General features: G+C 42.1%; 2 pseudogenes across 1 annotated transcript; both read right to left on the reverse strand.

Moving 5' to 3' along the window:
* On the reverse strand, positions 613–2,797 carry CKAP2LP1 (CKAP2L pseudogene 1; annotated as a pseudogene).
* On the reverse strand, positions 17,222–23,603 carry LOC100289473 (cytoskeleton associated protein 2-like pseudogene; annotated as a pseudogene). Its single transcript, NR_037142.1, has 4 exons — positions 23,519–23,603; positions 22,377–22,705; positions 18,368–18,522; positions 17,222–17,399 (listed from the first exon to the last, which is right to left on the reverse strand). The product of NR_037142.1 is annotated as a cytoskeleton associated protein 2-like pseudogene (transcript).
* Between the last annotated feature and the right edge of the window lie 726 nt (positions 23,604–24,329).

Below are 24,329 nucleotides of genomic sequence, written 5' to 3' on the forward strand. Positions count from 1 at the left end.
CTATGTTGGGGTTAAAGTACATCAATAAAGTACAAATTTTTACCATACTTACAGGACAAATTAATTCTTAATAGTTTGAAATATATGTATACCATAAAACTCTGTCAACCTACATACACCAAAGACTTTCCTGTGGGTATAGAAAATCTGAGTAAGCCAAGCAAATTACTTGAAATCCTGAGAGGCCATACATAATCTTCTGCATCCATTATGCCTCTCTATTATACGTTATTTTCTAGGTCACTTGAACAAGAGCATTTCTTACCTCAGAGGGTCTAAAACACCTTTTTTTTTTTTTTTTGAGACGGAGTCTCACTGTGTTGCCCAGGCTGGAGTGCAGTGGCACCATCTCGGCTCACTGTAAGCTCCGCCTCCCGAGTTCACACCATTCTCCTGCCTCAGCCTCCCGAGTAGCTGGGACTACAGGTGCCCGCCACCATGCCCAGCTAATTTTTTTTGTATTTTTAGTAGAGATGGGGTTTTACTGTGTTAGCCAGGATGGTATCGATCTCCTGACCTCGTGATCCGCCTGCCTCGGCCTCCCAAAGTGCTGGGATTACAGGTGTAAGTCACCATGCCCAGCCCTCTAAAACACCTTTTTTAAAAAACTTATGATTCAAGGATTTGAAATCCTAACGTTACAGGCAAAATCTCATTTTTATAAAATATAAAATGCTGTGTTTCTTTCACACCTAATAGCTTGTCAAGAGAAGTCACTACTAAATTGCATTCCTGCAGCCTTTCCAGGTAGTGGGATACTGCTTGTTTGATCTCCACTGAACCCCGTACAGGAGTGATAAGTTTCACGTCTTGCAATTCTGCCACTCCATTTATTCCAGGGCTGGAGCGATCTGCAATTTGATATCAGGATGATTATCCTGTTATGCCTTCATTATTTGGGGTGTTGCTGTACCTGTTCCTTTTTGTTTGTTTGTTTGGTTTTTTTTTTTTGAGAAGAACAAGACTTTCCAGATTCCATCCTCTTGGCCAGCTCTTCTGCTGATGTCATGTCAGTTTTAGCAACTAAAAAGTCAGAGGTGATTCCTTCCATGGTTTTGTTTGGGTCTTGCAAAATGTTAAGAACAACTTCCTGTAACACTTGTGTTGGTATTGCCTCATTTTTAATGGCCTTTTCATATAGCCCAGTAGCATCATAGGTGCCTTTCTTGGCTAACAACTTTGCTTTGTAGAACCAGAATTTAGCAGTTCTTCAGCCTCAGGAATACTAGACAATATGGCAAATATTTCCTTAAAAACCACACCCCTTTCAATGAGCTGCAGACATTCTGTCAGAGTGTTGTTAGTTTTATGGAGCAGTTGAAGCTGTGCTTTCTTTTCTTCCTCTTTTTTTTCAACGGTCTTCCAGAATATTTATTTTCTCTATTATTTTTCTTTCTGTTTTACGTGTCATAGGAGGCCACTTATAGATTTTCCCCTTAGATTTCTGTCATTCTTCCAGTTGTTTCCTTTGATCCTCTGCTATTGTCTTCTTTTCGGTATTTGGATTCATTTGGGTCCCTTTTGACACTCCTTTTCCTTCATGATTGTGTTACCAGCTTGAGTTTTGGGAGCTCTCTTGTTTAGAAAACAGAAGAGCCTTTTTCAGCTTGGAGACCAATGCCTGTGCTCTATGTTGTAAGCTGTTGTGGCATTTGTCCCCATTAGTTCCATTTGCTCTTACGCCGTGGGTGCTGGGAATGACTGAATTTAAGCTGCCAACTGTCAAACTAGCCTCTGGCTTATAGCTTTTGATTTTTGCAGTGCACACGACCAAGGCCCAAAACAAGGTTGAATGGACTGCTGATCTTGCTTAATGTTTAAATGTCTGTTACTATATCCTCCCTGAAACAAACTGGAGTATGTCCTGGTTTTGGTATGTTTTACTTCCTATTCACTAACTTATACATGCTCTTTAATAATTAACCCTATTAACCTTTGTACCCTCCACCATTAATTTTTTATTTTTGATGCTTGAGTCCTACTAAGGGTCTGAACAAAGAGAGAGGGAACTGTCTTGGGGGCTTTTCTCCCAGTCTTGGAAGATCTTCTTGAGAGAGTTGCTATGACTTTACTGATAGAAGCTTGACTTGTGTTTCTCCAACAAATTGTTTATGAACTCTGTCTTTCAGGGCAGCACTAGTCACTGAATATCTGCCCAAGGCTTGTTGAGGAACCAAATTGCTCTTGGTTCAATTATGAGAGTTATTCTTTAACTTCTTTATAGTACATAATTGAGAGTCTGGCTTCCTCTCAGGGTCTGACAAGGTTTGAGGCAAATTCTCTTCATTAATCTCTTTTAGAAAGCTAACCAAAGATTAATTTTCAATGCGGGCATTTCCTATGGAGTCTGTACACTTAACATTCCTTGATATGTTAACTGCTGCTTTGTAGTCTTCAAATCCTGTGCATTAAGTGACCCCATGGGTTTTCTTGACAGCTTTTCCATGGTGAATGATCCAGCTTTGTGCTGCTGTAAGCTACTGCTGGAGGCTTACAGTTTGGTTAGAAGGAACATATTCAGCCTTTTGCCCAGTTTTAGTGGCTTCAACTTTGGCTTCTGGGACCTTGTAATATTGGCTTGTCTGGCCTGGAGTTTAATGCTGATGGGCCTTATGCTTTAACAGGCAAAACAGCATGATTGATAACATTCTCTTGGATAGATTTGGGCAATTATTTTTGGCTTTTAGATAAAGCTCAGTGTTTGGCACTTGAAGTTCCTTTCGACTTCTAGGTACTCCTGGAGCTTTCTCTGTTGTTCGGTGGCAGCAGTGGTGGTGACAGGCCCTGGCCTCACCATGACTTCTCAGTCACAGTGTTTCTTCCTCTCTCACCACTTTTATTGAGTATAGTACTGGAAGTCCTAGCCAGGGCAATAAGGCTAGAAAAGGAAATAAAAGGCATACATATCAGAAAGAAAGAAATAAAACTATCTCTATTTGTAGATGACATAATAGCCTTTGTAGGAAATTCTACAGAATCTACAGAAGAGACTCTTAGAACTGATAAGTGAGTTCAGAATGGTGACAGACTACGTGATCAACATGCAAAAAGTTAACTTTAATTCTTTTTTTTTAGACATAGTTTCACTCTGTCGCCCAGGCTGGAGTGCAGTGGCATGATCTTGGCTCACCACAACCTCCGACTCCAGAGTTCAAGTGATTCTCCAGCCTCAGCCTCCCAAGTAGCTGGGACTACAGGTGTCCGCCACCATGCCCAGCCAATTTTTGTATTTTTAGCAGAGACAGGATTTCACCATGTTGGCCAGGCTGGTCTCAATCTCCTGACCTCAGGTGATCCACCTGCCTCGGCCTCCCAACATGCTTGGATTACAGGCGTAAGTCACCATGCCTGGCCAAGTTACCTTTAATTCTATATACTAGCAATAAACCCATGAAAACCAAAATTTAAAATATAATACCATTTAATTTGCTCAAAAATGAAATAGCTATAAATTTAACAAAACATATATAAGACTTGTATGCTGAAAACTGCAAACACTGATGAAAGAAATCAAAGAAGATTCAAATAAAGAGGAATGTGTTAGTCAGCATTCTCCAGACAAACAGAACCAATAGGATACATATATCAATAGATGGATGAGATGGGATTTACTATGGGAATTGACTCACGTGATCATGGAGGCCGAGAAGTCCCGCGATATGCTGTCTGCAAGCTGGAGAACCAGAGAAGCTGGTGGAGTGGCTCGTTCTGCATTTGAAGGCCTGAGAACCAGGGGAGATGTTGGCGTATCTGTCAGTCAGAGGCTGAAGGCCTCAGACTCTACAGAGGTAGAGATTGGGACTGGGTAATCTCATAGCACTGGTGTAAGTCTTGGAGTCCAGTGGCCAGATAACCTGGAGTTCTGATATCCAAGGGCAGGAGAAGATTGGTGTCCCAGCTCCTGAAGAAAGAGTGAATTCATCTTTCCTCTGCCTTTTTGTTCTATCCAGGCTCTTAACTGATTGAATGGTGCCCATCTTCATTAGATGAGGGCAGATCTTCCTTACTCAGTCCACTGATTCAGACACTAATCTCTTCCAGAAATACCCTCAGAGACACACCCAGAAATAATGTTTTGCCAGCTATCTGGCTATCCCTTAACCCACTCAAGTTGACACCTAAAGTTAACCATCACAGGGAGACATGCTATATCCATGGACTGTGAGCCTCAGCATAATAAAAATGTCAATTCTATCCAAACTGATATATAGGTTTAACACAATTTCTGTCAGAATTCTAGACATATTTTTGTAAATATATATGACTATTTTTAAATTTATATGAACAAAGGGAAAAAAAGAGAACTGAAAGAGTCAAAACAGAATAAAGTGGAAGGAATCAATATACCTGATTTTAAGACATGATAAAGATGTAGTAATCAAAACTTTGTGATATTGGCAGAGGAACAGACACATAGATCGATGGTACAAAATAGAAAACCTGGAAACAGCCCCGTACAAGTACAGACACTTGATTTTTCAAAGTAGCAAAAGCAATTCAATGGAGGAAGGATTGATTCCACAAGTGAAACAGTCTTTTCAACAAAAGGTGCTGGATATCCATAAACAAAAAATGAACCTCAACCGAAACCTCATACCATACATTATACAAAAATTATCTCAAAATAGATCGTAGGTTCAAAGATAAAACATAAAACTATAAAATGTTTAGGAGAAAATCTTCAGGATCTAAGGCTCGATGGCAGATTCTTAGACCTGACATCAAAAGCATGATCAATTTTAAAAATTGATAAGTTGGATTTCATCAAAATTTAAAACTTTCGCTCTCCAAAATACCATGTTAAGGATGAAAACAAAGCTACTGACCGGGTGAAAATATTTGCAAACCACCCATCTGACAAAGGGTTCAAATCTAGGATATCTCTCTCAAAACTCAACAGTTAAAAACAACAAAACAAGACAAAAACTTCCATTACAAGTGGGTAAAGGTGGGAAAACTCAAACTGTTTTTCCTCTGCACTCATATAGCAACAATCAACACAGAAGACTTCTGTGACCAAATGTGGGAGATTTCTTCTCCACCAACAAGCAAGCAATCAATTCTGCAGCAGACACCAGCTGGGTGTCCTCAATCCAATTCTAATCTGATGCTATCTATCTGGAGGTAACGTCAGACACCACGGGGATGAGCACTCAGTCCCATGGAACTTCTCCCCACTTCCAATGCCAATTGCAAGGAATGTGCTTCTGACTCACTGGCTATGAATCAGAGATCTCACGACCTCTTCCTTGTGTTTAATTAATTTGCTAGAGCGGCCCACAGAACTCAGGGAAACACTTAAGTTTGCCAGTTTATTATAAAGGATATAGATGAAGAGATGCATAGGGAGAGGAATGGGGAAGGGACACGGAGCTTCCATGACGTCCGCAGGTGCAGCACTTTTCAGGAACTTGTATGTGTTCAGCTGTCCAGAAGCTCTCTGAACCCAGTCCTTTTGGGTTTTTACAGAAGCTTCATTATGTAGGCATAATTGATTAAATCGTTTAATCGACTTACTCTTCAGGTGACCAGTCGCCATCCTGAAGCTACGGAGGTGCTCCCAGCCATCAGTCAATTCATTAAGACACAAAAAGACATCTCTTTGGAGAGTCTAAGGATTTTAGGGGTTGTTTGGCAGGAAACAGGGTTGAAGACCAAATATATATTTCACAATATCACAATGGGTGAAAGACATAAAGAGACATTTTATCAACAAGGATATATAGATAGAAAATAAACACATAAAAGATGCTTACATCGCTAACCATCAGGAAAATGCAAATTAAGATCATAATGAGATATTATTACTATGTACCTAATAGAACAGTTATAGTAAAACATAGTGACAATATCAAATGCTGGCTAGGATGCGGGGAAACTGAATATCTAATACATTGAAAATGGGAATGTAAAATAATACACCCACTCTATAAAACTGGTTGTCAACTTCTTAAAAAGAACTAAGCATACACTCACTATACTACATGAACCAGCAATTGCCCTCCCATGCATTTGTCCCAGAAAAATGAAAACTTATGTACACACAAAAAACCGTGCACAAATGTTTGTAGCAGATTTATTTGTAACAGCAAAACACTGGAAACAACCAGTGTAAGACAAACTTGTCTTACAAGTGAATGGCTAAACAAACAGTATGCATCCATACAATAAAATAACACTCAGCAATAAAAAAATAAATTATTTATATATGCAACAACTTGTAAGGATCTCAAAGGCATTATGTTGAGTGAAAAATCAAACTCAAAATGTTACATACTGTATGATCCCATTTATATAACATTGTCAAAATTACAGAGATATAGAAGAGGTTAGCATTTGCCAGAGACTTAGTATGGTGAGGGTGGGTGTCACTATAATGAGGTAGCACCAGGGAGACCTTTATGGTTATGGAATTGTCTGTATTTTGACTATAGTGGTGATTACACAAACATACACAGGAGAGACTGAACATAAGCAAAAGCTAGGAATATTACCAGACCCAGCTGGAAATAATGTTCAGCCGGGTGGGGAGGTTCATGTCTGTAATCCCAGCACTTTGGGAGGCTGAGGTGGGTGGATCAATTGAGGTCAGGAGTTCGAGACCAGCCTGGCCAACATGGTGAAACTCTGTCTCTACTAAAAATACAAAAATTAGCCAGCCGTGGTGGTGCACACCTGTAATTCCAGCTACTAGGGAGGCTGAGGCAGGAGAATTGCTTGAACCCAGGGGGCAGAGATTGCAGTGAGCCAAAATTGCACCATTGCACGCTAGCCTGGGCGACAGAGTGAGACCCCATCTCAAAAAAAAAAAAAAAAAAAGAAAGTAAGAATATTCAAACACTTATTACAATATAGACATCGACTCTTAAATTATCCCAAATTATGATATAATCATATTCAGTTGATGGGGAATAGAAAGTGTTCACGTGTGGCATTAAGTCAGCAATGGTGGAGCATTATATTACCATCTGTAATTGTGGGAAGTCAAAAGTAACGCCTAATACTGAAAAATGAAGAAGTGGCAATATGAACATGTTATATGAGATATGGCAGTAAAAGTCTAAGATAATCTATTAAAAATTGAGAATAGTTGCTTCTGGGAGATAGAATATGGTTGGATGTTAGGGAGACTCCAATTTTTATATGTAAAACTTATATAACTATTTATTTGACTCTTAGTGTGTACATGTAACTTTGAGAAAGATAAACACTAATTTAGATCATTACACGAATGTTATAGGAGTTACACACAAAGGCCAGGTGGGGTGGCTTACACCTGTAATCCCAGCACTTTGGGAGGTGAGGATGGTGGATCACTAGAGGTCAGGAGTTTGAGACCAGCCTGGTCAACACAGTGGAACCCTGTCTCCTGGCATGGTGGCATGCGCCTGTAATCCCAACTACTTGGGAGGCTGAGACAGGAGAATCGCTTGAGCCTGGGAGGCAGAGGTTGCAGTGAGCCAAGATCACACCACTGCACTCCAGCCTGGGCAACAAAGTGAGACTCCATCTTAAAAAAAAAAAAAAAAAAAAAAAAAAAAAAAAAAGTTATATATAAAAAGAATATCCATACTATTAGCACTAGTAAGAGAATTTCATAAGCTTTCCAGCTCTAAGATTGATGTTCAAAACTCAATTGCAATCCTATTCAGTAGTCAACAACCACTGAAAAAAGTAATAATAAATTTTAAAGATTCCATAAACTAGAATATATTAAAGGCGTCTCTAACTAACGATGCAAAAGACCATTATAGAGAAAAAAACTGTAAAATTGTAAACTGAACTTCATAAAAGAAAACCTAAATAAATAGAGGTATACCATGCCCATAAATGGGAAGTCTCAATACTGGAAAAATGTAAATGTCTCCAAAATAATATATGAATTCCATGGAATCAATTAATAAATCTAAAAGGATTTTTCATGAAAGTTGATAAAGTGAGTCTAAAATGCATTTAAGCCAAGAATAGTCACAACAATTTTGGATAAGAAAAGGTGAGATGACTTGCCCAAAAGATATCAAAACTTACTGTGGAGCTATGCTAGGCCAGGCACAAGCATACCTCGGAGATATTGCAGGGGAATGTTGTGGCTAGTTTGATCATCTCTCGAGACCACTAAAATTTTCTCCTTATCAGCAATAAGACTGTGTTGCTTTCTTATCAGTCATGTGCTCACTGGAGTAGTATTTTTAATCTCCTTCAAAAACTTTTCCTTGGCATTCACAGCTGGCTGAGTGTCTGGTGCAAGAAGCCTAGCTTTCAGCCTGTCTCAGCTTTGGGCAAGCCTTTTTTTACTAAGCTTCATCATTTCTAGATTTGATTTAAAGTGAGCGATTTGCAACTCTCGCTTTCACTTGAGCACTTAGAGGCCGTTGCAGGGTTATTAATTGGCCTAATTTCAGGCCAATGCCTCTCCCTGTGCCTCAGGCTAAGTAGGGAGGCCTGAGGAGAGGGAGCAAGACGGGGGAACGGCCAGTAGGTGGAGCAGTCAGAACACACAAGACATTTTCCATCAAGTGTGCTGTTTCATAAGGACACGGTTCGCGGAGCCACAAGACCATTACACTAATCACAGATCCTCAGATCAGATATAATAATTATTAAAATTTGAAATATTGCAAGAATTACCAAAATGTGACAGAGACACGGAGTGGGCACATGCTGTTGGAAACATGGCACCAATAGACTTGCTCAATGCAGGGTTGCCACAAACCGTCAATTTGTGAAAAACGCAGTGTCTGTGAAGTGCAATAAAGTGAAGCACAATTTAATTTGCCTGTATTGACAGAGAGCTAGACAAGTAGATCAGTGGAACACAGAGCTCATCGAAGGAACCACAGATCTATAGACACTCGCTATATAGCAAAGCTGGCAGTGGATATCAGGGGGTGCTGGATAATTAATCCTTCCAGAGAAAAGATAAGATTCCTATCATCTATAAAAAAATAAGATTCCTACCATCTATAATGCATACACACACGTGTGCACACACACCAGCAGAAAAATATAACAAGATGTGATGGTGTGCGCCTGTAATCCCAGCTCTTTGGGAGGCTGAGGCAGGAGAATTACTAGAACCTGGGAGGCGGAGGTTGCAGTGAACCTAGATCGTGCCACTGCACCCCAGCCTGGGCGATGGAGTGAGACTCCGTCTCTGTCTCAGCCAGTGTCCAGAAGAGCTTTTCCCAAGTTTTCTTCTTTTTATAGTTCCAGATCTTACATTTAAGTCTTAAAAAGATAAATTTAATAAAAGTGCACAAGGTTTATATTAAAAACAAAGCTGTTTGTAAATGACATAAAAGACAACATGAAAAAATATAAAAATATACAGTGATCCTGAAAAAGAAGCCCCAATATTTATACCACTGTATGTATAATATAGGAATACTCTGGCTGTGTACATCCAATTCCCTCTCCCAGCCTTTGTGCCATTGTATCAGGTATTATATGATATTAATGCGTTATTATCATAATATCCACACTGCGTTATTATTTTTAGCTTTAAACATTCACTTATCATCTATAGATTTTGTTTAAATGTCTTTTAAATTTATGCATCTATTTACTTTTTCTGTTCTTCATTCTTGTGTATGGATCCAGATTTACATCTGGTGTCATTTTCTTTGTGCCTGAAGGGTGTCCACTAGTATTTCTTATAATTCAAGTCTGCTGGTGATGATTTCTTTTGCTTTTGTTTGATTTTAAAATACATTAATATCGGAATAGAAGAAAGGAAAACTCCTTAACTCTTTAACTTCCTAAAAGGTATCTATTTAAAAAATGCAATAAACATTCAAAAATATTATATATATATGTGTATATATATATATGTGTATATATATATGTGTATATATATATGTGTATATATATGTGTATATATGTGTATATATATGTGTATATAATATGTGTATATATATGTGTATATATATGTGTATATATATGTGTATATATATGTGTATATATATGTGTATACATATATGTGTATATATATGTGTATACATATATGTGTATATATATGTGTATACATATATGTGTATATATATGTGTATATATATATGTGTATATATATGTGTATATATATATGTGTATATATATGTGTGTGTGTATATATATATATATATATATATATATATATATATATATAGCGAGATGAAAGGGATAAATGGAAAGAGTAAAACTTAAGCAACAATTGGAAATTTTTTTTGTGTAACAAAAGCTCCCAAATCATACCAATACTGCAGCTTTGTGCACCAAGCTAGAGGAACAAGGCAGACTCTCCCACACATGCCCAGGGAAACAAATAAAAGAATGTTTGTTGCAAAGTTGTACTAGCAAAACACTGAATGAAGCTTCAAAATCTGTCTTGAGAAGAATTGATAAATTGTGGCATATTCTTACAATAGAAGACCACAGAACAGTGGAAAATTAATAAAATGTAGCTCCATATATCAACAGAAATAAACCTCACAAACTGTGTTAAGCATAAAAAATAAAGTTCCAGATTGCTGTGTACAGTGTCAAAGCATCTATATAATGTTAAAATATGAAAAGTAATACTATACATTGCTTAAGGATTCATACATATGTTATAAAGTTATAAAACCATGCTTGAGAATGATAAATTCAGAACAGTGTTTTGTTTTTTGTTTTTTGTTTTTAAAGAACTGAAGATCATAATGGCAAATGTTACTGTTTTTAAAAGATAGGATGTTAGGTCCATGGGTATTGTTTGTATTTTTTCTGTACATTTCAGAAGAGAAAAATGCTTATGCAACTTCCCAGTGATTTCAAAATATATGTGTGTTAAAATGAAATCATATTTTCAAAAGCCCCGCACAAAAGTAAAAACTGCTCTGAAAATTAAGGATTGTTCATGACCAGGGGCAGAATGGAAACTTCTTTTCTTGAGCAGTTTAATTCTCTTGGTTGGAAGCAGGGCCAATCTGAAGCTCAGTACATCAGGGTCAAGACATCCCTGGAGTCCTCATGAAGAAAACTCGTCCCTGACTCAGCTCCAAAGCTCTGAGGGAAGGAACACCAGGAGGGTGTGCGGAAGGGAGCGTGTCCGCGATGGGGGTGGCAGGGACGGAATAAAGGGGTCTTTAGTGACCTATAAGTCCTTGCAGCCTCTCCCCACTTGAACCCCTTGGAGAGGGCTGGAGGTAATGTATCACAGGGCATGCAGGGGCTGTAGAGAAAAAAAAATCATTCATTCATGTGTTTGTTTATTCATGTATTAATTTCACAAATATTTATTGAGCACCTACTATATGGCAGGTATTCTGCTTAGTCTGGATTCGTGGCACAGATCAGAAATAAAGCCCCTACTCATTACACCCCAATGCCACTTTCTGGGTTCTAAACTCTCTCCCATACCCACATTCATCTTTGCCACTAGTCAGAACCTCCAAGTCCCTTGAATAGGTTCTATTCATTGATTTTAGCAATACTTTCCTTATGCATCCCCAAAATATATCATATGAAAACTGAAACATGTAACAGTGTATTGGGGGACTCTGGAGTTTGGGTCTCAACATTCATACCACTACCACACCTTGGACCCCCTCCTCCCATCTCCAGGGTCCCAAAGAATGGAATTTGAAACCTTTCCACCTCCAGGGCACTACACAATGCACGGATCTGAAAGACTCTAGGAATCGCAAAAAACATTTGGAGAAAATAAAGAGTGTTCCCAACCTTCCCTTGAGGCTGGATCACTCTTGAGGGCCCCAGTGACTTTGTTGGGCTTGCCCTGTAGGCCTCTTGCCAGCCTGTCACCCAGTACCGAAGACTAAAGCCTATCCTATGTTCACCTGTCACAGGTTCCACCTCCTGCAGATGTAGGTCACTGTGAAACTCATCACCAGCAGCACCCTGAGGCCCAGGAGGAAAACCACAAAGACAAGGGCAGGCATCTCTGGGCCTCAATGCCAAAGGATAGAAGGAGCCGTCACGTGGAGGCTCTGTGAGTTTAAAAGCCCTCTCTGAGGTCATGTAGTCAAGAAGTTCTAGAGCTTGCAGGTTGCACCTGATTCTGATTCCAAACCCATGTCTTCTCTCCACATTTAGTCCTCTCTTGGAAATAAGAGTTGACCTTGACCTGTAAGCCTCACCTTGAATTTGGCTCAAATGCTGATTTGAATATCTGACACATAGCAGCCACTGTGCAAGGCTTTAGAGGCACAAACCTAAGTATAATATAATCAGCTCCATGTCCCGAAGGCCTGTGGTCATTTAATATAACTTTGCTACCATCTTAAGAGTTTGGTATCATTAGGACCATTTTCTAGATGAGTAAACTGAGGTTATGGGAAGGTAATGGACTCAGTTGCCTAAGTTTCCAAAGTTGTAACTACTGGAAACTAAATTTTAAAATAATCTTACCTGAATTCAAATAATAGGTATCAATAGCTGACATTTATTATAGACCATACGTAAAGTTTACATGTATTAATTCATTTAATCTTCATAAAGACAATGAATTAGGAACATTTATTAGACACTATCTACAGATGAACAGACTGAAGCACACAGGGGTGAAGTGCCTGTGCAAGAATCAAGTGGAAGAGGCTGTTCTATCATTGGAGCAGACATCATGCAAGCAGGTTTTATGTGCACTCAAGCTCGCCTCCATATAACCGAAACAAATATTTTAAACAAGACAGCCTTGCTGACAACCATCTGAGAAGCACCAGTAGTGAGTGCACTAAGCTGAACTCTCTCTTGGGAATTTTGAAGGAGCTTGAGCCAGGAGATCACTCTTTCCACAGAAATTAAAGAACCTTTCAGGATGGCCAGATTTAAAGGCATCCACTGGCCAGAAACCATTCTGGTTATTTAAGGAATCACAGACTCTCGAGTGGGATAAGACCTCATTGATTATCAAGCTCCCCCTCCTCCCAGTACCTTCTGAAATCCACTCAGGATACAGAAGTGACCCCAGGTGCTCACAGAAGAAGAAGTGAACTTACCTGTGCTCCCAATGGGCTTATAAGCGGTGTGGGCTGCTGTGGACAGTACGAGGTTAGCCCGTTTGGGAGGCTGTCCCTCATGTTCCATCATGCAGGTGAGCACCCGCTCAGGCCCCTGCACTGATGCATTCACCAGCAGCAGCTTTTCCAGGGTGTAGGACCTATCATTATTCTTCTTTAATGTGGGTTGCTCAGTGCCTTTGAGTGTATGGCAGTCCTCTAGCCAGGCAAGGTGCACGTTTTGTGGATAGAATCTCTGCACGAGGCAAGTAACAGCCACCAAGCTGGAGGAGGTGGAAGACTGGGACACTGTCACTGTAGGGGGAACTGACAAAGCCCAGAGAAAGCAAACAATTATTGTGGGAAGCCATCTGTAGGTGCCTGGGAGCTCCCTGAGGATGAAGTCATCTGCCTAGGGCCTAACCAGAGCCTGCCACAGAGGAATACTTTAGGTATTGGTTAACAAATGCACACATAAGGAAATGCATGATTGAATGACAGCGTAAATTCATGAGTGAATGCATGCCTGGATGGATGGATGGATGGATGGATGGATGGATGGATGGATGGATGGATCGATGGATAGATAGATGGATGGGTGGGTGGATGGATGAGCGGATGGATGGATAGATGGATGGATGGGTGGGTGGATGGATGAGTGGATGGATGGATGGGATTGAAGAAAGTCATTTAATCTTTCTTTTCTTTTTCACTTTGGCCATTAAAGATGAAAAGATGAGGTATGAATTCCACTGAAGAAGCTACAAATCATTTAACTTACTCTATGACTAGATAATTTTAAGATTTGAAGATTCATAGACTCTAAGTCTTAGAATCCAAGATGTTAAAATTGTACATAGGAAGGAACTTCAGATTATAGAGATTAAGTAACTTGCCCGAGGGCACAAGTAGCAAAGGTGGGATTACACCAGAGACAGTAGGTTTTACCTTTATGCTATTCTAACACCCAAACTATAAGGCTATAAGCATTTATGATTCCAGGCTTCCAAAATTATGATCTAATGACTTCTAGAATTTTTTCAGCCACATTTTCAGCTATGCAATAGAATGTATTCACAATAAGGAAAACAGGACAAATTTGAAGTCCTATAAAACACTAAATATTTCAATAGACTTCTTATGAACACACAACACGATGCAGCTCTAACACTAAACTGAGGGCTGGGAGATCTGGATTCTGGTCATTGCACTGATACCATAGCCAACTGCGAGACCTGTGCAAGTCACTTTCCCTCTGTTTCTAAGACTCTAAAATCATGAAATTCTCTGAGGTCAGATCAGCTCTCATGGGCCTAGTTAAGAGAGATTTCAGCTCTTGGTCTAGGGTAGAGGAAGCAACTCTTTCTGTAGGGCAATTTGAAGGAGTTACAGGAATCCAATTCCCAAATATTCTTTTCTCATCCTCAACCTACCCAGACTTGTAAAAGTCTATCAATGATGTTGCTAATGGCAGCTGAGGCAGACACCCTCCCTGAGCTTATTACCTGCACTTAGTCTTTCCCTTTCAGCACACAGGGAGAGCACAGGGATCTCACCAAGAAAAGAGCAAAACCTGAGAATGGAAGACTCCGGGTGTTGAAGCCCTGGTAACTGGGGTGGTGCCCGTGGAGAAGAGGGCAGGGTAAGGTGCCCTCCACACAACTGTCATGGGTTCTAGAAGGTGGGAAGGATCAAAAAAAATAAAAAAGGATAAGAGGCTGAGAAGGCCCATTTCAACCGCCAGTGAGTTTTCCTGGCTGTCTGGTGTCCAGGCCAGTGCTGGGAGGACAAAGGCCTGAGCACGGCTGATGACAACTGCTCCCATCCCCTGAAAGTCAATGTTTGAGGCAGTGTGCATGCATTCTCTTATTCAATTCTCACAAAACCAAATAATGTAAACACTGAAGCTACTTGGTGTCAGAAAAAAAAGGTGCCACTTAGAAGCAGCCTATACAAAATCAGGCCTCAATTTCATAGAAATTGTAAAAAAGGAATTGGTTGGAACGTCATCTTGAAAAGCATTTAAATTTTAAAAAATTTACTTAATTTATATTTGCATATAAATATATAGTATAATTGCAAAGAGGCACCAACTCTTATAAGAATAATTGTTGGAAGTGGACGGAAGCTGGCATCATTTTTTTTCCAGAATTTATACTATAGTACCAACAAATCCTTCATTTCAAATCTCACATTTATAGCACAATCATTAAAGAGTAATTTTGAAAAATCATTTGAAATTATTTGAGTGTTCTATCAATTTTCATAGGGGCATCTTTTAATCGAAGGGCTCTCTTTTGAAGTGCCCACAGTATCATTAGCATCGTGAATTTTTTCTTATTATTATGATTCCATTTTTAACACTCAAAGGCTTTGCCTGTGATCCCTGCAGCTCCCCAATATCACCTGCCTCAACTTCTTGAAATACAACTTTTTCAAGATCTCAGTTTGCACTTTGCAATGGATATGGATTCTATTTGCACAAAATGGTGTGAGGTTTGCCACACATCAATCAAGGCAAGACCAACCTCCTACAGCAGAGGGTTTCTGGGCTCCACGCCTCCTCTCCCAGCTGCCTGACCTCAGCGCACTGGTGCAAGACAGTACTACTCACACCGAGTCCCACCTTGGGCTTCCAAAACCCTTTCCTTTTCTCTGCCTCAGATTTCTCTGTAAACACGAAATGCCACCTCCCCACTACAGGCACATCCCCACCTCTCCTCCTTCATGAGACAATTCTCAGGCATAGTCCACCCAGTTCTTCAGAGGGTCTCCAGTGTCATTGGGCCCCAGTTTTCCACAGGGCCATCCAGCTCAATAACTCACTCTTTCTTGGCCGACCCCCTGCAAAGCTAGTATCTCTCTCCCTGCTCCCTCATCCCAACCTCTCAGCATCACCCTCCAACCACCTACCCCCAAGTCCTGGGTTCAGGCTCTGCTTTCAGGGGAACCCAAATAAAGATACCCACAAAGATATTTCCATGAGAGGAAGCACAGCCCTGAGATGCATGCAGTGTTGAGTAGGGAGGGGCTTGGAGTGGGAGCTAATTTTATATGTAATCGATTTATTTTTGAAAATTTGTATTTTCTATAACTTTTGCTTCTCAACACCATCGTCCTAGCTCAGGAGAATTACATAATAAATACTCAGATAAGGAAGATTCCCTGAACTATCATTTCTCTATTTTACAGACAAAAATACTGAGGATGGGAGAACATAAGCGACTTGCAGCAGATCCCACAACTGGTAAATAGAGCAGAGTTGGAAGCTGGAATTCATGCCAAGGTTTCTCACTCACCGGCTTTACAACCTTAAGCAGCCTTCACTTCTTTGAGCCTCAGTTTCCTTCTGTAACCCACAAATGGCACAAACAGTATAGGGAAGTTCTATGCATTGAAGTCCATTCACATGAGTGTGCTTTACTGTCTGCGTGCTGTAAATGTTTGAGACATTACTACCAATATTTTCTGCCATGTAACATGATGTGTTTACTTCCCAATAGCACAATTCTCCCCCTGTTTTGTGAATGAGAAAATGAAGAGAGATATAGTTTGTAGATTTTAAAGTCCAATATACATTCAAGGAATTAATTTTACTGCTATGCAAGCTTGGACCACTCACTTGCCTTCTCTGACTTTTACAGTTGTCAGAACAATGGGATGACGGTTAAGATTTCTTCTAGGCATGATACTTTATGACCTCATGGAATTCACAGATCTACCAAGCATTGGTCCAACCCGTCTAAAGACACCATTGGCCCTAGAATTTAGTTTCCCAAGCTCTTCAAATCTTCTTCCTATAAAATAATGATAATAATAAAATTGAATTCCCAGAAGATATCCTGTCTCCATTTTACAGATGAAAGAAGTGAGTTCTGAGAAGTGCTGTAAATAATAATAATAATAACAATTGCCACTTCTGAGTAGTTAGTATGAGCAAGGCACTGTCTTACGTGCTTTACAGGTATTATTTCACTAAATTCTTGCCTCAATCAAACAAGGGATGTGCTTGCTTATCATTGAAGGTTCTTCTTCATTTTTCATTGAGGAAACTGAGGCTCAGAGAAGTCCCCACCCCAACTCTGCACTACCTCAGCTGAGCAGAGAGAGAGATCTTACCCTGGAGGTACTGGTCCAGGCCAGTGGTTTTCTGGAAAAACCACGTCAACTTGTGCTCCACATGGCAAACGACGTGGGAGAACACATCATCATCCATCAGCGGGACAAGCACACTGCTGGTCACATTGTAGGTGTGTCCACTGTACTGGACGCTGGTCTGGGGGTTTGGGAGCTCGTGTTTGTTTTTAAGCCAGGTCACAGTAACCTGGTGTGTCGAGAACCCAGAGGATGCATAGGTCAATCGGATCCTTGTGCCAGGCTCAGATCGCTGAAGGGGGCCTTGCAACTTGTAAGGCTGGACACTCTGGCCTGCAAGGATAGACCCCTCCCATGAGAGGGCACAGAGGTGCCTGAACCCCAGTGTGAACAAATACACAGCATCTGCCAAGAAGCCCATTGCTTCCTCTTTCATAAGATGTAAAGGTTATGTTCTGATAGGAACCAGTTTCTGAATCTGATAACGGAGGCCGGACAGTGAAACTGTAGCAATGGGCAACAGCAGTTTGTAAGGAGGTCAACTCCTACAGATACTGCATAGCGAACACTCACTTGGCACCTACCCTGCCTACAGGCTCTTCCCTAAGTCACTGAGTTCTCACAGCAGCCCTCAGAAGTGGGTGCTGTTACTATCCCCATTTCACAGATGAGGAAACTGAGGCCAGGCAGGCTAAGTAACTTGTCTAAGGTCCATCAGTCAGTGGCAGAGCTGGGATCTTAGCCAGGTAGTCAGGCTCCAGGGTCGGCACCCCTTACTGTCACTCAGCCCTACCCTCAGTCTTTGAAAATGGAAGAAAACCTCATTTCTCAGAGGCTGGGTCATGGAGAAGAGGCTGGAACCATGGAGAAAAGGTTAGGAGCACAGGCTTTAGGATCTCACTCAACCCAAGTTTACATTTCCACTCTCCACTGAAGCCCAAGCAACTTAACTCTCTGAGCCTCAGTTTTTTCATCTGTAAAATGGGGGCGATTTTTTTTAATAGAAGAAGAATGGCTTAAATTTTATAACAACTATTCATCCCATTTTGATATCTGGAGTATAATTAAATTCAGACTTCCTTTGTTTATTTAGCCATTAGTTTTGATGAAGTACATTTTTCTTTTCTTTCTTTTTTTAAATTTTATTTTACTTTAAGTTCTGGGATACATGTACGTAATGTGCAGGTTTGTTGCATAGGTAAACATGTGCCATGGTGGTTTGCTGCACCTATCAACCCGTCACCTAGGTATTAAGCCCCGCATGCATTAGCTTTTGGTCCTGATGCTCTCCTTCCCCTCACCTGCTGCAACAGGCCTCGGTGTGTGTTGTTCTCCTCCGTGTGTCCATGTGTTCTCATTGTTCAGCTCCCACTTATGAGTGAGAACACGTAGTGTTTGAGTTTCTCTTCCTGCATTAGTTTGCTGAGGATGATGGCTTCCAGCTTTATCCACATCCCTGCAAAGGACACAATCTCATTCCTTTTTATGGCTGCGTAGTATTCCGTGGGGTATATGTACCACATTTTATTTATCCAGTCTATCACCAATGGACATTTGGATTGATTCCATGTCAAGGAATTTATTTTACTGCTTTGCTATTGTGAGTAGTGCTGCAATGAACATACGCATGTATGTATCTTTGTAATAGAATGATTTATATTCCTTTGGGTATGTACCCAGTAATGGGATCGCTGGGTCAAATGGTATTTCTGGTTCTAGATCCTTGAGGAATCACCACACTGTCTTCCACAATGGTTGAACTAATTTACATTGCCACCAACAGTGTAAAAGCGTTCCTATTGCTCCACAGCCTTGCCAGCATCTGTCATTTCTTGAGTTTTTAATACTTGCCATTCTGACTGGTGTGAGATGGTATCTAATTGTGGTTTTGATTTGCATTTCTCTCAGAGTTAATTAATAAATTAAGTGATGTAACTAGTGTAGAATATGTAGCACACAGTAATCACTATATAAACGGTAGCCCTCCGCACCATATACTCACAATGACCATCCAAGGAATTATTATTAATCATATTTTTAATATTAACAGATAAAGAAAAGGCTCAGGGAGGGTTAGTGACTCATCCAAGGGCCTCACAGTGAACAGAACTGACATTGTAACCCAGGAATTCTGACTCCAAGCCAAGGCCTTTTTCTGTTACATCATAGCTGCCTCTACTTCTGCACAGTTGGCTCTATATTAACCAATGACCTTTAATATTGTCCTACTTGCAGCTCAGCTCTGGGCTAGGCACTGTGGAAACTGCAAACAGTCACTGCAGAGAACTTGCTATGGGCCCCATTGTCCAGATGCCAAGCAGGAGTCAAGGAAAGGAATCTTAAGCAGGGCTCTTTGAGGTGGGTATAACAATTGTCATTACAACAATGGAAAACTTGACTCAGAAAGGGAGTTGCGGCCAGGTGTGGTGGCTCACGCCTGTAACCCAGCACTTTGGGAGGCCGAGGTAGGTGGATCACCTGAGTTCAGGAGTTCGAGACCAGCCTGACCAACACGGTGAAACCCCATCTCTACTAAAAATACAAAATTAGCTGGCCATGGTGGTGTGTGCCTGTAATCCCAGCTACTTGGGAAGCTGAGGCAGGAGAATCACTTGAACCCGAGAGGCAGAGATTGCAGTGAACTGAAATCACACCATTGCACTCCAGCCTGGGCCATAAGAGCAAAACTCCATCTCAAAAAAAGAAAGGGAGTTGTTTTGTCTTAGGTCACATGGCTGGGGACACTGATCTGTTTGACTCCGACGTTTGGCCACCTCGAAACATAAGAGCCAGTCCCTGCTTCAAGGATGTGAGAGTCTAATCACGGAAGATGGGTGTAAATGGAATAAAACCCCAGGTCGGGGGACTTTGGGAACGCCCTTGTAGTTTAAATACTAATTGTGAGAACTAACTGGTATGGACCGATAAGACCACACAATTCAGGAAGAAATAAATATCAGAAATAGAGCATTTAAAATTGAGATTTGAGAAGAGACTTGAGATAACACTAAGCTTTGTATTCTCGGGCAGGATAGGAAAGAAAAATGCAGAAAAACACATTGAATTTTTGAACAGACACGCCTGCATTCTAACCCCAGCTATGCTGTTTGGAACCTCTGAGACCTTGGTCCCTGTGCTAGCTCTGGGCTCTGTTGTAGGATCAGATAATGTATTTGAGGATGCCTAGTGTGCAGTAAATGCTCTACGGGTGTCACCCAGTAGGAACAGAGACAGAGTGGGGAGTTCGTAACAGGTGAGGGTGCTGATGAAGGCATTTATGGGCCAGGTTGGGGAAGGATAGCTGCAATGCTTTGTTAACACCAAATAGAAAGGGGCCTAAATGCCAGAAAAGGAAGGGGCTGCCCTTCCCCCTGCAGACCACGGGGCCCCACAAAGCTGCATAGCGGAGCCATATAATCAAAAGGATGCTCCCAGGGGGTTAATGTTGCAGCAGTGGGCCAGATATACCGCATGCAGGCAAAAGAGAAAAATAAAAGAAGAAAAAACCAGCATGAGTCAATAAAGAAGTATCGTAACTTGCTTCTGATCAGAAAGGACCAGTTTTGAGTTTTTCAGCCAGACCTGTATATCCTGCTGGGTGAGTGTTTTTCTTCTCTCTGCTGGACAACAGACAAAAAGGCACGGGGAGACTGAAAGCTGAGTGGGATCATTCCTCTTAAGAATTCTTACAGCAGCCAGATAAGAGGCCAATTCCGTCAGGGAGAGAGAGAATGCGAGGTGGAGGGCCCTGGTGGGAAGATGGGCTGTTGTTGCCGGTCCGGCACCCTTACCCTGGCAGCGGCCTGCGCTGTAATACTCCGAGGCATCCACCCTCACTGCCCCCAGGGGACTGTCCTTTTTGACTTCACGTGGTTCTGGAGGGCTGTGGGTCCATAGGCTGGCTTACCCCTAGCTCACAAGGCCCGGCCGATCCTAATGACCTCCACCCACCCTCTCGGACACTGAGCGCCCCCACCGCCCAGCCGGCCCACTCTGGGCCAGTAATTCATTCTCCCGAGCTCATCCCAGCCTCTGGGCCGGTAGTTCATTCTCCCGAGCTCATCCCAGCCTCTGGGCCGGTAGTTCATTCTCCCGAGCTCATCCCAGCCTCTGGGCCGGTAGTTCATTCTCCCGAGCTCATCCCAGCCGGGCGGAAGGAGCGCCGCCCGCGCTCTCTGGGTCTGAACTGCCGGCCGACAGCTCCCTCTTGTGGAGAAAACGGTTTGAGGCCGCAAAGAGTGAGCGAGAGACGGAGGCAGAGATTCCAGGCGGCAAGGCGGGCCAGAGAAACGATCAGCACGGCCAACAGACGACCCACAAAATGGGAGAAAATATTCGCAAAGCGCGCATCCGACAAAGGTCGAAGATCCACAATCTATAAGGAACTTAAATAAACTAACAAGTAAAAAAATAACACCATTAAAAAGTGGGCGAAGGATGTGAACAGCTACTTTTCAAAAGAAGACACACCCGCGGTAAACAAGCATGTGAAAGAATGTTCATCGCTAATCATTAAAGAAATGCAAATTAAAACCACAATGAGATACCATCCCACACCAGCCAGAATGGCTATTATTAAAAAGTCAAAAAATAACAGAGGCTGTACACCAAACTGCCCCCAACACAGTTTACCTATGTAAAAACCTGCACATGGGCCCAGACCTAAAACCAAAGTTAAAAAAATAATAATAAGATAATATAAAAATACTCAAAAAAGAGAGAAAGTGAAGAGGACAAGGAAAAAGAGAAGGATGGAAGGAGAAGGAAAGTGAGGGGGAAAAGGAAAGGGAAAGGAGGAGGAGGATCTGTTTGACCCCGTGTAAGGGCCTGTCCTGACCCCATGTAAGGGTCTGTCCTGACCCCGTGTAAGGGCCTGCCCTGACCCTACGTAAGGCCGTGCATGGACCCTCTTTTCCAGCTGAATTCAGAATTCTGGCCTCTGTTTAAAGTTGCCATCCAGAAACTTTCAACTGTGCCAGTCTTGATTAATAGCCTTTCTAGAAGGCACTTTGGTGCTCAGCAGTCCTTAACCTCTGCCATTTCTTGCAGTCAAGTGTTAAGGTGGAGAACTTTCAACATCAAGAATGCATGGAATTAGGGAAGGGGAGTCCCACCCTTTCTTCTTGGGGAGGGTGTGGAGGAAGGCGTGAGAAGTGGAGTCTGGGGGCGAATGTGTGAGAGTTGTATCACCAGCTGCGGGTATCCTTCCTTCCTTCACCATCATCCAATGCCGCCCTGAGTCTCTGACCCTCCCCAGCCGTGCTGCCCACAGGGGATGTCCAGAGGGGCTGGGCCAGAGGCTGTACCCACCTTTCCCCTGCCTGCGCACCTGGGCTTGCAGGGTGACGTTGGCCTTGAGTGGGGGCTGCTCATCGTGGACCACCCAGCAAGCAAACTCACGCTCCTCCAGCGTGGCCTCTGCCTGCCACGTGTGCTCCAGAGAGTATGTCCCATCTGGATTTCTGGTGGCCTGAGGGGACGAGGGGACACCAGGGTCTGGATCATGCTCCTGTTCTCCATCCAGGTGAGTCGCAGGTGGGCGGGATAGAAGTGGAGGACGTGGCAGGTGAGATTCACTCTGTCTTGCACATGTACATGGGTCCCAGAGGTTTCAGTGGTGATCTTCAGGGTGGGGACAACTAGACAGAGGAATAGGAAGTAAGACCTGGTGAAATCAGCCCCTGCCTGTGGCCACCCATGCTTCCCTCTCCCAGGGAACAGCCTCAAGGTCTCTCGCCTTTTTTTAAAGAAATATTTTTTTCTTGTATGCGTAATGTAAAGCAAATAGGGCTAAATGTTAATATTCATTAAATATGGGTAAGGGTACCTGGGTGTCTGCTATATTCTGTATTTTTGAAATATTTCATATCAGAAAATATAATTTTAAGAATTAGTAAAAGGTGATGCCCATGACGACAGGGACTTTATTTTGCTCGTTGCTGCATCCCCAGCACTGAGCACAGGGTCTGGCATACAGTGGATATTCATTATTATTAAATGAATAATAAACATTTAAAAAAAAAACTGTAACAATGACATTAATAGAACAAAGATGTTTAGAAAGGGAGTCTGGGACCAGATAATAACAAGATCAAACATTCGTAAGTAAGTCACTGCATGCCAGGCACTGTTATGTGTGTTTTATAAGGAATAATTCATTTAATCTTCACAGGACAGCTATGAAGTAGGTCCTCATTTTTTTCCTGTTATATAAAGAAACTGGTATTAAATAGTCAAGTAACTCACAAGATCCCACAAGTTGTAAAGTGGCACAGCTAGGATTAAAACCCAGACAGCGAGCCCCTGGAACCTGCGCTTATAACCACAATACACATGATCAGAAATCCATGAGGAATTTCATTTCCCCATTTATGAAATGAGGCTTTGGGCAAAAACCCTGAAAGCTGGATGCTTCCAGGGTTAATGTCCACCCCACCTGACTGCCCATTCACCTCAGAGCACTTGGGAGAGATTCATGGTTGTTTTCAGGGGCTCTGCCAGGGCCCTGTGGGTGACTTCGCAGGTGATCTCAGATGAGACATCCTGTCGGGTCAGTGTCACCCATGCCTTGCTGGTGATGAAGTCATTGCCTCCATTGTCAGGCACCAGGCGCTGAGCTGAGGCTGGATGTTCATCACTGTCCTTCAACCACGTAACATTGAAGTCCCGGGAGAAGTCCTGGGAGTTGAAGGGGACAGCAGTACAGTTGAAAGGCACTGAGTCTCCAGGGCTTGTCCTGTGAGATGGACCAGTCAGAGAGATGAAGGGCTGTCCAGCTAAGGAAAGAGCAATTGTGATTGTACACTGAGAGTGGGACACACCCCACAGGCACCAGTGGCACCAGAGCTGTGTCAGGCCCTGGGGGCCTACTATATGCTGTGTCTGATTCTGTCTTCAGGCAGCATATCGGCATTTGATCATAAGAAAACAAGCAAATGCAAATGTGATTATGACTGATCCCAGTGCCATCAAGGAAACCCAAAGACTGCATAGATGGAGAATACAGGGAGGACTTATTCTAGAAGGGCAGCTGGGGAAGAATTACTTGAGGAGGTGACATCATTGAGCTGAAACTCAGGAATGAATAGGAGCCAGCAATGGGAAGGGACAGAGGAAGGACATTCCAGACAGCGGGGACAGCAGGAGAGAAGGACCTCAGGCAGGAAGGGCTTGGTGGGCTTGAGAAACTGAGAAGTCTGTAGGGGACCCTAGTGTCATGGCAAAGAGGTCCAGAGTGAGAAGAGCCTGGGGACCATGGTGATG

Source organism: Homo sapiens, chromosome 20, assembly GCF_000001405.40.
Source record: "Homo sapiens chromosome 20, GRCh38.p14 Primary Assembly".
Classification (NCBI taxonomy): domain Eukaryota; kingdom Metazoa; phylum Chordata; class Mammalia; order Primates; family Hominidae; genus Homo; species Homo sapiens.